At 41.0% G+C, this 14,475-nt stretch overlaps 1 protein-coding gene across 18 annotated transcripts in view, besides 1 other annotated feature; it reads left to right on the top strand.

The window, feature by feature from the left end:
• SRGAP2 (SLIT-ROBO Rho GTPase activating protein 2) overlaps positions 1-14,475 on the top strand; it is a 260,896-nt gene that overhangs the window by 164,941 nt on the left and 81,480 nt on the right. The window lies entirely within an intron of this gene.
• Positions 12,077-12,984: an enhancer, noted in NCBI's record as "NANOG-H3K27ac-H3K4me1 hESC enhancer chr1:206553913-206554820 (GRCh37/hg19 assembly coordinates)". NCBI's record gives its function as "activates a minimal SCP1, AML or CMV promoter by ChIP-STARR-seq in naive H9 embryonic stem cells {active_cell/tissue: H9 hESC(naive)}" and the evidence as "EXISTENCE:reporter gene assay evidence [ECO:0000049][PMID:30033119]".

Consider the following 14,475-nt stretch of genomic DNA (forward strand, 5'->3'; position numbering starts at 1 on the left):
ATCTGTTCATTGTATCAAACAAAGCATATTTCCATTCTTATTAGGTTTCCAGAATTGCACTGGGCCTGGTGAGGGCTACAAATAAACATAAGATAATCTGTTTTCAAAATTTAAACTTAGAGTTGTGCTTCTAGAAATGGAAGCTTTTCTAGAAGAAAATTCAGACCAATCCTTTTGCTTCATGGGAGCTGCTTTCCTTGAAGAGGCTTCTGCCATTTTAGAAAATATTACTGAGTGTCAAAAAGCTGAGCAGAGTGTTTAATAGACTTGTAGGGCTAGCAGGACAAATATGGGAATTTAAGGCCCAGGGGCCCAGGATGGGTAGCCTTGGTAAAATTCCCCAGGCTTTGAGACACCAAAGGGATACAATTAAGAAGGAAAGATAAGCCAGAAATAGACTAAGGCAGTTTCATAGAGACTGAAGCCTGGATTCAAATTATCTTAACCTCTAATTGGATTAAGGTGATTTAGGATAGCCAGTGGCTAGAAACAAATTTAAATCCTCTCTAGAGGAAGATACTGTGGAAGATACTATCATCCTAGACCTAATATATCTCTCATCATTTTTCATCATGATGTTTGGCACTCAGTTATAAATAATTAGGCCTATGAGGAAATAAGAACTGTGACCAAAAGCTAAGAGAAACAGCTAGACCCACAGGAGATCCTAGTAATGGTGTTAACAGATGCAAACTTTAAATTAACTATGTTTAATATGTTTATGAAATTAAATTATAAAAACAAACCTGGAAATAATAAAAAAAATTAACTCAAAATGGATCAAAGGCATAAATGCAAGAGCCAAAACTATAAAACTCTTAGAAGAAAATATAGGTGTAAGTCTTCGTGATCTTGGATTAGGCAATGATTTCTTACATATGACACCAAAGCACAAGCGACAAAAGAAAAAATAAATAAATTGAACTTCATCAAAGTCAGAAACCTCTGTGTTTGAGAGGACACTGTCAAGAAAATGAAAAGACAGCTATAGAATGAGAAAAGGTATTTTCAAATCATATATCTCATCAAGGTCTAATTTTCAGAATATATAAAGAATTCTTAGAACTCAGCAACAAAAAGATGACCAGTCCAGTTTAAAAATGGGCAAAAGACTTGAATAGGCATTTCTCCACAGAAGTTACACAAATGGCCAACAAGCACATTTTTGACACTGTTATTTATTGGGCTACTGCAAATCAAAACCACAATGAAACACCACTTCACACCCACTAGGATAGCTATAATTTTAAAAAGGAAGAAAGAAAAGGAAAGAAGAGTTTTGGAGAGGGTATGGAGGAATCAGAACCCTCATACATTGCTGGTAAGATTGTGAAATGGTGCAGATGCTATGGAAAACTGAAAATTCCTCCAAAACTTAAGCATAGAATTAACCTGTGACCCATCAATTCCACATCTAGGTGTATACCCAAGAGAATTGAAAACATATGCTCACACAAGAACTTATACACAAATGTTCATAACAGCATTATTCAAAATAACCAGGCTGGGCACGGTGGCTCACGCCTGTAATCCCAGCACTTTGGGAGGCTGAGGTGGGCAGATCACGAGGTCCGGAGATCGAGACCATCCTGGCTAACATGGTGAAACCCTGCCTCTACTAAAAATACAAAAAAATTGGCCAGGCGTGATGGCAGGCACCTGTGGTCCCAGCTACTGGGGAAGCTGAGGCAGGAGAATGGCGTGAACCCAGGAGGCGGAGCTTGCAGTGAGCAGAGATCGCACCACTGCACTCCAGCCTGGGCGACAGAGCGAGACTCCATCTCAAAATAAATAAATAAATAAATAAATAAATAACCAAAAAGTGGAAGCAACCCAAATGTTAATGAAGTGATTTATGGAACAAACTTAAAGTATGGCATACCTATACAATTTAAACAAAATGTGTCATGTCCATACAATAGAGTAGTATTTAGTCATAAAAAAGAAGGAAGTGCTGATACATGCTACAATATGGATATACCCTGAAAACATTGTAAGTGAAAGAAGCTAAACATAAAAGGCCACATATTATATGATTCCATTTATAGTAAATGTCCAGAGTATGCAAATCTATAGAGACAGAAAGTAGATTAGTGGTTGCTAGGAGCTGGGGGAAGGAGAGATGGGGAGTGACTACTAACAGGTTTGAGTTTTCTTTTGGCATGATTAAATATTCGGGACTTAGTGGTGGTGGTTGTACAACCTTGCAAATATACTAATAGCCACTGAATTGTGTACCCTGTAGTGGTGAATTGTACAGTGTGTGAATTATATCTCAATAATTTAAAAAAATCAAACAAATTTTAGTACAAAAAATGCAGTAACTAAAAGAGCTCAATGTGTAGATCAAGTAGCAGATTAGATGGTGCTGAATAAATAGTTAATGAACTGAAACGTCAGAAAACAATGCATACTGAAGCTCAGAGAGATAAACAGATGGAAAATACAGAAAAGAGCATAAGAGACTTATGGGATAGGGTAAGTAGGCCTAACATGCTTCTACTTGAAGTCTCAGAAGAAGAGAACAAAGAGAATGGGATAGAAGCAATATTTGAAGAGATAATGGCTGTGAATTTCCCTAAACTATAAAAGACTTCAAGCCACAGACTGAAGCATTATGAGCCCCAAACAGGAGAAATACAAAGAAAATACAAACAGCTAGAGGTAAAAAAGACGTATTATCTTCAGTGGAGCAACAGCATGGTTGACAGCTGACTTCTGAACAAAAGCAATGGAAAGCAGATGACAGTGGAATGAAAGTGTAGAAAGGAATACCCTTCAAAAATGAAGGTGAACTAAAGATGTTTTCAGACAAGAAAAATATGAGAAAATATATCGCCAGCAGACTTGCACTAAAAGAAATACTAAATGGCATTATTTAGGCAGAAGGAAAATGATCCCAAATAGAATCTTAGAAGTGCAGTAAAGAATGAGGAGCAACAGAAACTATATATAAGAATATAGATTGGCCGGGCACGGTGGCTCATGCCTGTAATCCCAGCACTTTGGGAGGCCGAGACGGGCAGATCACGAGGTCAGGAGATTGAGACCATCCTGGATAACATGGTGAAACCCCATCTCTACTAAAAATACAAAAAAATTAGCCAGGCATAGTGGCGGGCACCTGGAGTCCCAGCTACTTGGGAGGCTGAGGCAGGAGAATGGCGTGAATCCGGGAGGCAGAGCTTGCAGTGAGACGAGATCATGCCACTACACTCCAGCCTGGGCAACTGAGTGAGACTCCGTCTCCAAAAAAAAAAAGAAAAAAAATATAGATCTAAGTGAATAATCACTGTTAAAAACAACACTAATAATCATCTGTGGGGTTTTCCTTTTTTAGATGTGTGGGTGGGAGGGACAGAGTCTTGCTCTGCTGCCCAGCCTGGACTGCGGTGGCACAATTATAGCTCACTGCAGCCTTGAACTCCTGGGCTCAAATGATCCTCCCACCTCAGCGTCCCAAGTATAACAGCTGGGACAAGAGGTGTGTGCCACCATGCCTGGCTTATTTTTTATTTTTTGTAAAGAGAGGGTCTATCTGTTGCCCAGCCTGGTCTTGAACTCCTGGCTTCAAGTGATCTTCCTGCCTTGGACTTCCAAAGTGCTGTGGTTACAGGCATGAGCCACCACACCAGGCCAACCCTGTGGGGTTTTAAATATGTATAAAATTAATATAAATGGCAACAATGAAATCAACAATAGAATCTGTGTCTGGGTGGGGGTAGGGAAATGGGTTTAAAGATATTTTCAGAAAGTGGTAAAAGTAGTAATTTGTATTAGGTGTTGGCAATTCAAGGATATATGTTGTAATTTTTGGTAACCACTCAAAGAATAGTATTGTACCAATCTAAGAAAGGGACAAATTCAGTTAATAAAAAAGTAACTCAAAAGAAGGAAAGAAAAATTCTGGGGAGGGCAAAACTATAGAGATACAGAACAAATCAATGGCTTCCAGTGGTTAAGGGTAGCGGAGAGTTTGACTCTAAAGGTGCAGGATACAAGAGGTTTTTGGTGGGTGATGGAACTGTTCTGTGTCTTAATTGTGGTGATGGTTAGACAACTCTGTGCATTTGCCAAAGCACATGGAACTGTATGCCAACAAGAGTGAATTTTCTGAATGTTTTGTAAATGGAAGAAAAAAAGAAGGTAGGAAAGGAGAGGAAAGAGGAAAATAGAAGAGGCAGGACAAATAGAAAGCAATTAGCAAGTTGGTGGGTTTAAACCATAATATAAGGTGTAAATTGACTTATGCAAATTAAAGACAGATTTTTAAAAAGCAAAACTAGAGTGTATGTTGCTTGTAAGAGAACAGATACACTTTAAATATAAGGATAAAGAAAGATTTAAAGCAAAGTGATAGGAAAAGATAGCTACAATAAAATCAGGCCAGGTAGATTCCTTTCTTTCTTTCTCTCTCCTTTCTTTCTTTCTTTCTTTCTTTCTTTCTTTCTTTCTTTCTTTCTTTCTTTCTTTCTTTTCTTTCCTTTCTTTCTTTCTTTCTTTCTTTCTTTCTTTCTTTCTTTCTTTCTTTCTTTCTTTCTTTCTTTTCTTTCTCTCTCTCTCTCTTTCTCTCTCTCTCTCTGCCCCCCCACTTCTTTCTTTCTGTCCTTTTTTTTTCTTTTTTTTTTTTTTTTTTCTGAGTCTTGCTCTGTCACCCAGGCTGGAGGGCAGTAGTGCAATCTCAGCTCACTGCAACCTCTGCCTCCCGGGTTCAAGCAGTTCTCCCGCCTCAGCCTCCCAGATAGCTGGGATTACAGGCATGCGCCACCATGCCCAGCTAATTTTTGTATTTTTAGTAGAGACAGCGTTTCACCATGTCAGCCAGGCTGGTCTCAAACTCCTGACCTCAAGTGATCTGCCCACCTGGGCCTCAAAAGGTGCTAGGATTACAAGCCTGAGCCACCGTGCCCAGGCAGTCCAGGTAGATTTCAATGCAAAAAGTATTTTTCGTTATAAAGAGAGACATTTCCAGGCTGGGCATGGTGGCTCACTCCTGTAATCACAGCACTTTCGGAGGCCGAGGCAGGCAGATCACTTGAGGTCAGGAGTTCGAGATCATCCCGGCCAAAATAGTGAAACTCTGTCTTTACTAAAATACAAAAAATTATCCAGGCATGGTGGTGAACACCTGTAGTCCCAGCTACTTGGGAGGCTGAGGCAGGGGAATCACTTGAACCCAGGAGGCGGAGGTTGCAGTGAGCCGAGATGGCGCCACTGCACTCCAGCCTGGTGATAGAGCGAGACTCTGTCTCAAAAAAGAAGAGAGAGAGACATTTCCTAGTAAAGACTAAGTTTCCAGGAAGAAATATATACTTAATAACATAGGCTTAAAATATGTAAATCAAATGGGACAGAATTAAAATGGGAACTAGATAAATCATCACCCCAATGAGAGATTTAACACACCTGTCTCAGTGAATGATTAAACAACTAGACCAAAAAAGTCAGTAAAAATACAGAAGAGTTGAAAAACAACAAACTTGACCTAAATGACATATATGGATACTGCGCCTGACAACTGCGGGTAGATACACATTCTTTTTTTTTTTTTTTTTTTTTTTGAGACGGAGTTTCGCTCTGTCACCCAGGCTGGAGTGCAGTGGTGGGATTTCGGCTCACTGCAAGCTCCGCCTCCCGGGTTCACGCCATTCTCCTGCCTCAGCCTCCCGAATAGCTGGGACTACAGGCGCCCGCCACTACGCCCGGCTAACTTTTTTTTTGTATTTTTAGTAGAGATGGGGTTTCACCTTGGTCTCGATCTCCTGACCTCGTGATCCGCCCGCTTCGGCCTCCCAAAGTGCTGGGATTACAGGCGTGAGCCACCGCGCCCGGCCAGATACACATTCTTTTCAAGTGTACGTGGAACATTTACAAAGTTTAAACCTGAAATGGGGAGGAAAAATCGAAGAGCTTAGGGGAGAAATTAGAGCTGGAGATTGGAAATCTCCATTTCCAAAGTCTACCTTCTTTTTCTCACAATTCCATGATTTTTCAGTAGGAGTGGGGTACTGGCCAAGAGGGAAGGTATCCTCCCCCAAGAATATTGATTTTTCTTTTTTCAACTGTATGTAGGCCATGACTAATGGGAATGGCTACCCATGTGTTTACTGTGGACAAAGACAAGAGGCTTCAAACCACCATTGTAGCTGAAGAAAGCTGATACAGGCTCAAATCTTCATCCCAGTCCCTAGGCAATGCATTCTAATTTCTGTCAGTAAAGGGCTCTACTCATTCTCCCAAAGTTGGCTTTGTGCTCCTCTTAGGTCCAACCCTGGCACCTGAGGTGTCAAGAAAATGCTGTCTTCATAACTCACTGGAGCCTCTTCCTCTCGATTCTAAAGGCTACTCCCAGTGTTCTAAAACTACACAGATCTCTCGATGAATTGGCTTTGCTGCTGGGTTCCTCTTTCTTAAAAGTATTTAATCAGCGATTTTCCCAGTGCCCCAGGCATTTCCTGTACGAGTGCTGCTGACTGTTTTACTTCCTACCAGGCTGCCCTCCTCCTCTTGGCATTCACACTTCCAACTTTCAGATGAGCTCTATTAACTCCTGTTCTTCCAGCCTCCGCCTGGCTCAGCCATCTGGGAGCCACACAGGCATTCTTTCCATCCCCCAGCTCATAGATTTCCTTATTGTAGAAGGGCATATGTTTTCAAGTACCTTATCATTCTGGCTCTTTCCCCCGATTCTCTCCCAGTTCCAAGCCATTGATTGTTTTTCCTCCTTAGTTCATTTTACAGCTGCTGAGAGATTTGTGCTCTCGTGCTGCCTGTTTGCTTTTGTGTCTTTTGTCCCTTATGTCCCAGTCTACTCAAGGATACCCACAGTCACCTAGATACCATTTCTACTCTGTGCTTTTAGTGTCCTGCTTGGGAAATGGGGTGATCACTCATCTTCAGAATGACCTCAAGAAATGCTTTGGCATGAGAGATCAGGGCCTGAAGACATTACGCCCCCACTCAAATCATTATCCAAAAGGGTAAAAGATGGAAATTTGCCAAGACAAAGATCACAGTGGTAGTTTAAGAAATGAAAGCTTAGATTTGATTGTCTGTTTTGTTTTAAGGGATGTTGTTTTGAGTTTATTTTCTTAGTATTAGGATAGGTCATTCAAAGAGATTGGAACAACCATGGAAGAACATTCAGATTATTATAGGACTGTGTTTCAGACTGGGAGAGCAGAGGGCCGTTAGCCTCTTCCTGACCCCACCCTGAACTCCCCTGAACTCCCACCCTTGTCCCGAGTATGCCTGTCCCTGACAAGAGACTTTGGTCAGGGACCAAAGTGAGCTTTGTTAGTGAGCATTCACAGAGGGTAGGAGCTGAGTCCACAAAGTTCACATCATGCCAAGGAATGGATTTCCTCCCAGGGCCACTAGCATTACTTGTGGGTTATCAAGTGTTACTGCTCACACATTCCAGAGCTTCTGGAAAAGCCGTAAGGAAATGGCTTTCAGAAAGCCATTTCTGTCCTAGAGGAGAGAGGTCCTGGATTTCACTGAACCAGAACTTGATGGGTGGTTTTGGTATTCTGTGACCTAGGTAGTGGGGAGCTCCTTCCTTTGGATGTTTCCTTTATGCCCACAGTCGAACCATATCCTAGTTGTACAGCCAAGAAGGATCTTTTCTGTTTAATCTATCTGGAGGAATAGAAGGTAATTGTATCCTCCTTATTTTCATTCTGCCACCCCTACCTTCATCATTTCTTCCTTTCTGCTAAGCACTTTTTATCGTCTTTCTTTGTTTCGTTTTGGGAGTTTTGTTTTTTTGTTTTCTTTCCTCAGGAAAGCTGAATTATTTCTTACAGAGTCATTTAGTTCTTACTGAAACTGGGGAAGAAAAAGATTATGCAACAGCAGGCATAAGGAAAAACAGAGAACGTTCTTCCCTTCGGGCCCACAGAGCCCATTGGAGGAATTCAGCTACAATCCTGCCTGGGAAGTAGTTTCCAGGACCTTCGCAATTCCACATAGCATCTTTAACATGTTTGAGAGTACGTAAGGAGGCAGCATAGTGCGGCGGAAAGAACACTCAAGTGAGTGTTGAGGGGGCTGGATTCTAATATTAATATTAGCCAACATTTATTGAACAGGCTAGGTGCTAGATTCTGTTTAAAGCACTTTATGTGGATTATCTCACTATTCTTATTATCCTATTTTACAGATGTGGAAGCTGAAGCATAGAGGGTTTAAATATAATTTACCCAAGGTCATCAATTGGGGAGTAGAAGTAGGATTCAATTCCTGCTCCAGAGCCTGCATGTTCAGCTCTCTTTTAATACTGCATGTGGTCCTTGATAGGCTACTGACCCTGGAAAAGTCATTTCAACTTTTAGGGCTCATTGGTGAACCATAACCAAAGGGAGCTCATTGTGGCTAACCTCTGATGGAGTTTCCACTTTTAATAATTTATATGATGAAACGCAGCTATATTGTTTAGTTCTTGTCATTATGTGAAAGCATAGTATTTAAACTTTGATCTCATTGATTCAGCAACTGATTATTTTATGGCCACTGTGCACAAAGCAATGGGCTGGGTACCACAGAGGATTCAGAAAAATGCTTAAAAAGTTAAAACCTATCTCTTCCATTAGCTTTAGATGGTTTCATATTGTAGTTGCTTTGAGATTTTTTTAGACTAAGTTTTTCAGATAATTAAACAGGAATCAAATTCAAAAACTATTCATATTCCAGAAGAGGAATCCTGAAACAAGTATTGGGCCTTAGACTAGTCAAGTTTCTGACATTTTCTTTTAAAATATAACTTGTCACTAGGATAGTTTATATCCATTAACTCCTGAGTGAAGGAGCTTCTGGTGAAATTGTTTTTTATGGTGCTTACAAGCTCAAGGGGTTCTTTAAAAATGGAATGTGACTGCTTTGGGAGTCACTAATACTGAAGCTGGATCATTATAACCTGAAATATCCATTAGTAACTTAGAAAGACAAACTCAAAGAAAAAGAATTTACTATGTAATAGCTGGATTTTTTGAAATCAGATTTTTTTTTTTTTTTTTTTGGCAAGCTAGATTCAATATCTAGCTTGCTGTGGAATTAGGTTATGGTGTGGAAACCTCTTGGCTGGGACAGGAAAAAAAATTGATCTTAAACTAAAAAAACTAACTTAAGATATTCCATTTCTAGTAATACCTTTGAGATTGGAAGAATTGCATTCTGATGGGCCCAGACGTTAGATTAATGTCCATCTTTCTCAACAGGTTGTAAACTTTTAAACTTTCTGTTTTGCATTCAGACCACAAGTGCCTGACACTTAATAGATGTTCTATAAATATTTGCTGATGGACTCTTTATTGCTCACTCCCTAAAATCCAGCCATTTCTCCCTTGCCAGCATTCAATAATTGAACCTGCTTTGAAACATCTGATCAGCCACTTCAAGACGGCAAGTTATTTTAGCTCCTGTCTAAATAAGTTAGTGGGCTCCAGTCCTTAAACCACTATTTTCTTTATTAATTCCTCAAGTACAGACTTTTGTATGTAACCAGTCTTTTTAAACCTGTGTATAATGACTCATTAATGAGTTGTAAAATAAATGTAGTGAGTTATGACCAATATAAAAAAATAGAAAAGGCCAGGCACAGTCGCTCGAGAATATAATCCCAGCTACTCTAAGAGGCTGAGGTGGAGGGATCTTTAGGCCAGGAGTTTGAGACCAGCCTGGGGAAACATCACGAGACTCCATATCTGAAAACAATTTTTTTAAAAATTAGCCAAGCATGCCTGTTACCAGCTACTTGGGAAGCTGAGGCAGGAGGATTGTTTGAAGCCAGGAGTTTGAGACCAGCCTGAGCAAACTCAGTGAGATCCCATCTCTACAAAAATTACCAAAATTAACCAGCATGTTGGTACACATCTGTCGTCCCAGCTACATGGGAAGCTGAGGGAGGAGGATCACGTGACAGTTGAGCCCAAGAGTTCAAGGCTGCAGTGAGCTATGATCAGGCCACTGCATTCTAGCCTGGGCAATAGAGCAAGACCTTGTATCTAAAAAGAAAGAAAGAAAAGAAAAAAGATAAAAGAATAGGAAATATCATAGTGGACAGCACATAAGTAGAGGTGAAGCCAGCTGGACTTCCTCGGTGGAGTGGGGTCTTGGAGAACTTTTCTGTCTAGCTAGAGGATTGTAAATGCACCAATCAGCACTCTGTAAAAACGCACCAATCAGCGCTCTGTGTCTAGCTAAAGGATTGTAAAGGCACCAATCAGCACTCTGTAAAAATGCACCAATCAGCGCTCTGTGTCTAGCTAAAGGATTATAAATGCACCAATCAGCACTCTTAAGAGCTGTAACACTCACCGCGAAGGTCCACAGCTTCATTCTTGAAGTCAGTGAGACCAAGAACCCACCAGAAGGAACCAACTCCGGACACATAAGTACTTTTATTATAGACACATATTATGCTGTATTGCAATAAAAAATGTATTTTTTGAACATCCTAGTCTACCTATCTTCAGAAGGCAAAAGCACCTCTGGTGTCCCTGTTGTGGTATCTCCTAGCCTACCTCTCTATAAAAGTTTTGCAATTAAGTATATTTGTGTTTTATACATCCTTGGGCTTCTCATAGTTTAAGGTCCTAACTGGAGTTCAGTCTTTCTCAGAGCCGTCTCATGGTATCCTCACTGATGAATGAATGCTGAATAGAAAGAGCCCTGCTTGCATATATGCAGGTAGTATGGTGGAGGGGAAATCTAGAAGTCATTTCTGAGCTCTGACCTGCTGGATCATCACCCCCTGAACCCCCAGAGCCTCGGCATACAGCCTCACACTGTACCACCTATTTTGGTGGCCCAAGTTAGCTGAGAGAGAGGACCAGACACAGTGCCCACCATCACCTAGCACTGGCCCTGCTACCAAACAGTCATTCCTTTTAGCCCTCTCCTCCCCACCAAAAGCATTTCAGGCAAAGTGCCAGCTCCTGAAATGTGGCCTCTTTGAAGTGGTTAGTGAATGCCCCTGAAACCACCACCTTATGTATGGTGGTGCTTCTGCTGCCAGAGCTTAATACAGGGTCATGTTCCTTTCCTCTGAAATCTGTAACATAAATTCAGTTTTAAACTGGATTTTTTTTTTAACAGTTGGTCTCTGAACAATCTTTAGGGTGGGGAGGGGATAGTAGTGGTTGTTGGGGAGATATGTGCCCTTGAAAACTGGATTCTTTTTTGGAAAACTGCTGACACAGGCTAAATGGCAGAGAACTAAATGGCCCTACTGTTCCTACCTGCTGACAGGCTCAGCCTTGGGATGGGGCTGAAATGAGCTCTCGCCACATGGCAGAGACATGCCTTCCTCTTTTTATTCTTCTTTCTTACAAATAGGGGGTACTTTTGTGCCTGTCAAAAAATACAGCTTTGAAATGTAGATAACCAATTAACAACAGTCCCACCCCCAACTTGGAAAGCACATGAGTGCTGATCTAAATAACTAGAGAATCGGTAACAAGTAACCTCCCTATTGAGAACAGGTCTGAAACCTCTTTCATAATTGGTGTTCTTTGGGAAACGCTAATAGACAAACCCATCCAAGCTCAGGAAATGTACTGATTTAAAGAGGTCTAAGGAAGAGTGACCAGCCCAGTGGCCAGGCATCCCGGATGCCTAGGATCCTTATGTTTCCGTACATATCTGCTGTTACATCCTTTCTGTGAGCAAGGAGGCTTTGGAACATTACAGTCTTGTCTTGGGGAGATGAGATGACACAGTGCATTTCAGTTCTGTTTCCAATGCTGTTATCTGTTGGAAAAAGGAAGCTTTCCTACCCATTTTGTCAGCATACAACTGGTAGGAGCTGTTGCAATCTCATTGTCTTCTGATCAGCCACTCGGCAGCAGTCAGAGTGGAGGCCAGTGAAGCACTCTGACCAAATGGTTGTGGTGAGTTTCAAAATAAGAGATCCCAGCCTGAGCACACCATCACACTTCCCATCCGATAGAACCAGCATTGTTAACTGTACCACATCTCTATTCTAAATTTAGGCATCTTTTTTTTTTTCCAGGCAAAGATTACTATGCAAACATTTAAGAGAAAAACTTTGTCCAAAGTAATTTTTTCCCCCAACTTCTATTTGGTTTCCTGCAATGTTGAGATGACTCATTCTCTTCCAAGAAATTTTAAAGAAAAGAGATGCAGGCTGTATGTTAGTACACAAAGACTGCTCTGTAAATTCTTTTTCTTCCCTGTCTAGAAACCCCTTGCCTTTTTATAGAGAACGGAAAAGCTCTACAGTCTTCATTGTCATGTACTCGGCCTCATCAGGTTTTGTTGTTCCCAGGAATAAATGTCCCCCTTGTCTTTGGGTGGGGCCCCCTTGTGGCTTACCAGCTCTGTCAACCCCACTGCAGTGGCCAGCACGGAAGCCCTTCCTGGGGCCACGCTTTCCCCCAAAGGCACACAGTTAAGGTTTCTGAAACAGAGAACGAATGGCCTTTTATCATCTGTGAAAGGAGAGACACTGGCAATTTCCTGCCTCTGGCCTAGTGTCAGAATTTCTCCTGATTGCTAGAGGCTGTATTGCACATTTTAAGTGGGCTCGCTACACATGTAGTCCCAGCCCAACCCTCAGCCAGAGGGAGCAGTAAGTCAGATCACTTCAGCAGCCTGTTCAAATAAACAGGGATAATAGTTGAGTGGTCCTCCCAACTAATCAGTACATGAAAGGAAACATCTGCCTGGGCTTAATTGCTGTTGTTTTTGGTTACACTTTTCCCTCCCCTTCTTCCCCCATCCCCCACTCTGGGGCTAGGTTATTTAAGTCATGGGTAAGCAACAGGGTAGAGGAATAGGAGCTTTCTCCTTTAACCTCTGCCATTCAAACATAAGGAGGAGTTAAGAAACGATAGGCTGGCAGGGGGAGATGGCCCGGAGGCAGGAGGGCAGGGCGGTGGGAAGTGATACTCATGGTCACTTCCTGACCCTGTTGCTGACTCTGGGGCTCAGAGTGAGTCATGTTGCCTCACTTCACCTCCTTGGGCCTCTGTTGCTTCAGTGGAGCTCAGCTTTCCTCTCAATGGAAAGGACAGGCTGGTATGTGAGATCACAGATGAAAGGCATTCCCTCTTGTGGCTTCTTCCAGCAGTTGAGGTCATTGGATGAGAGACCCTGGAATGATAAATTTAAGACTGGCAAGATCCCCTGAACCCGTCCATTTTGTAGAGCATCTGGGTCCCCGAGGAGAACTTGCTCATTATCTTCTAGCCAACCAGCCATACACTAAAGGGAGGGATGTTTGAAGCTAATATGGACTCTAGAAGCCAGGCAGAAGATCATGTAGAATCATAGAATGGCAGAGGTTGGAAAAGACTTTAGAAATGTTTTAGCTGAAGCTTTTCATTTTATAGAAGGGAAAACAGAGGGCCAGAGAGGTTAACCAGGTTGTCCAGAGTTACCTCTTTGGTAATGCAGGAGCCAGGAATAGAAAGAGAATCTTGTGATTGCTAATTTAGGGCTCCTTCCACCCCTTTCCCCACTATCAGATGTAAAAATTCATGCTTACTCATGACAGAGGCCACACATAGGTTATATTCCATAATGAATACCTTAATAGAAAAATGGGCAGAGAACACCTTAATAAGAAAATGGCAGATTATAAAAGAAAAATGAAAATGACTGATAAACATTTTTAAAAATGCTCAGGCTCATTAGAATCAAAGGATTGCAAATTACAATAGGATACCACATCAAATTGTCAAGACAAAAAAATGTGAAATAAACATTCATATATGCTATTGGTGGTATTTTAAATTGGTACCGTTTTTCTCAAAGGCATTTTAGTGGTATAAATGGTAGTCTTTGACCCAGCAATGTTATTTCTAGGAGAAAATAATGAAAGGTGTGTGCATTAGATCATATACAAAGTAATGTGATATGGCATTTTTTATCACAAAAATTTAGAAGTGAAGTAAATGTCCAAGAATGGGAGCTACATCAATAGAACGTATTATAATGCTATAGAACAATAATACATGTGGAAATGTTTACAACATATGTTTAAGTGAATAAGTTACAAAACAGGATTTATAATGCAATCCCAATTTTGTAAAACTAGAAAAGATTAGAAAAATACATAACAACACTTAGAGTGGTGATTTCTTAGTGGTAGGAATTTAAGAGTTACTTTTGTTTTCTTTTTTGAGGTTTTCTAGTTTCCTTATTATAATAAACATACATTACTTTTGTAATCAGAAAAAAAAGTATTTTTTAAGTAGAGATGTATGTACCTTGAAAAAAAGCAAGATCTTAAATGATTGTGTATCTGACATGAAAGTCCTTCCTTTTTTTGCCTGGGAGCTAGCAGCTATGGTGGGAGGGATGGGAAACAGTATTATAACTTCTGTTAGGGTGGCATTTTGATACCCGAATTTCTGGTAGGAAAGATCTAGAAGGAGCTGGCAAAAGATAAAACAAGGGCTTTCCCTCTCAATGACCCATGCTGCCAATCAGTTTTAGCTCTCTTAGGTT

This window comes from Homo sapiens, chromosome 1, assembly GCF_000001405.40.
Source record: "Homo sapiens chromosome 1, GRCh38.p14 Primary Assembly".
NCBI classification, from domain to species: Eukaryota; Metazoa; Chordata; class Mammalia; order Primates; family Hominidae; genus Homo; species Homo sapiens.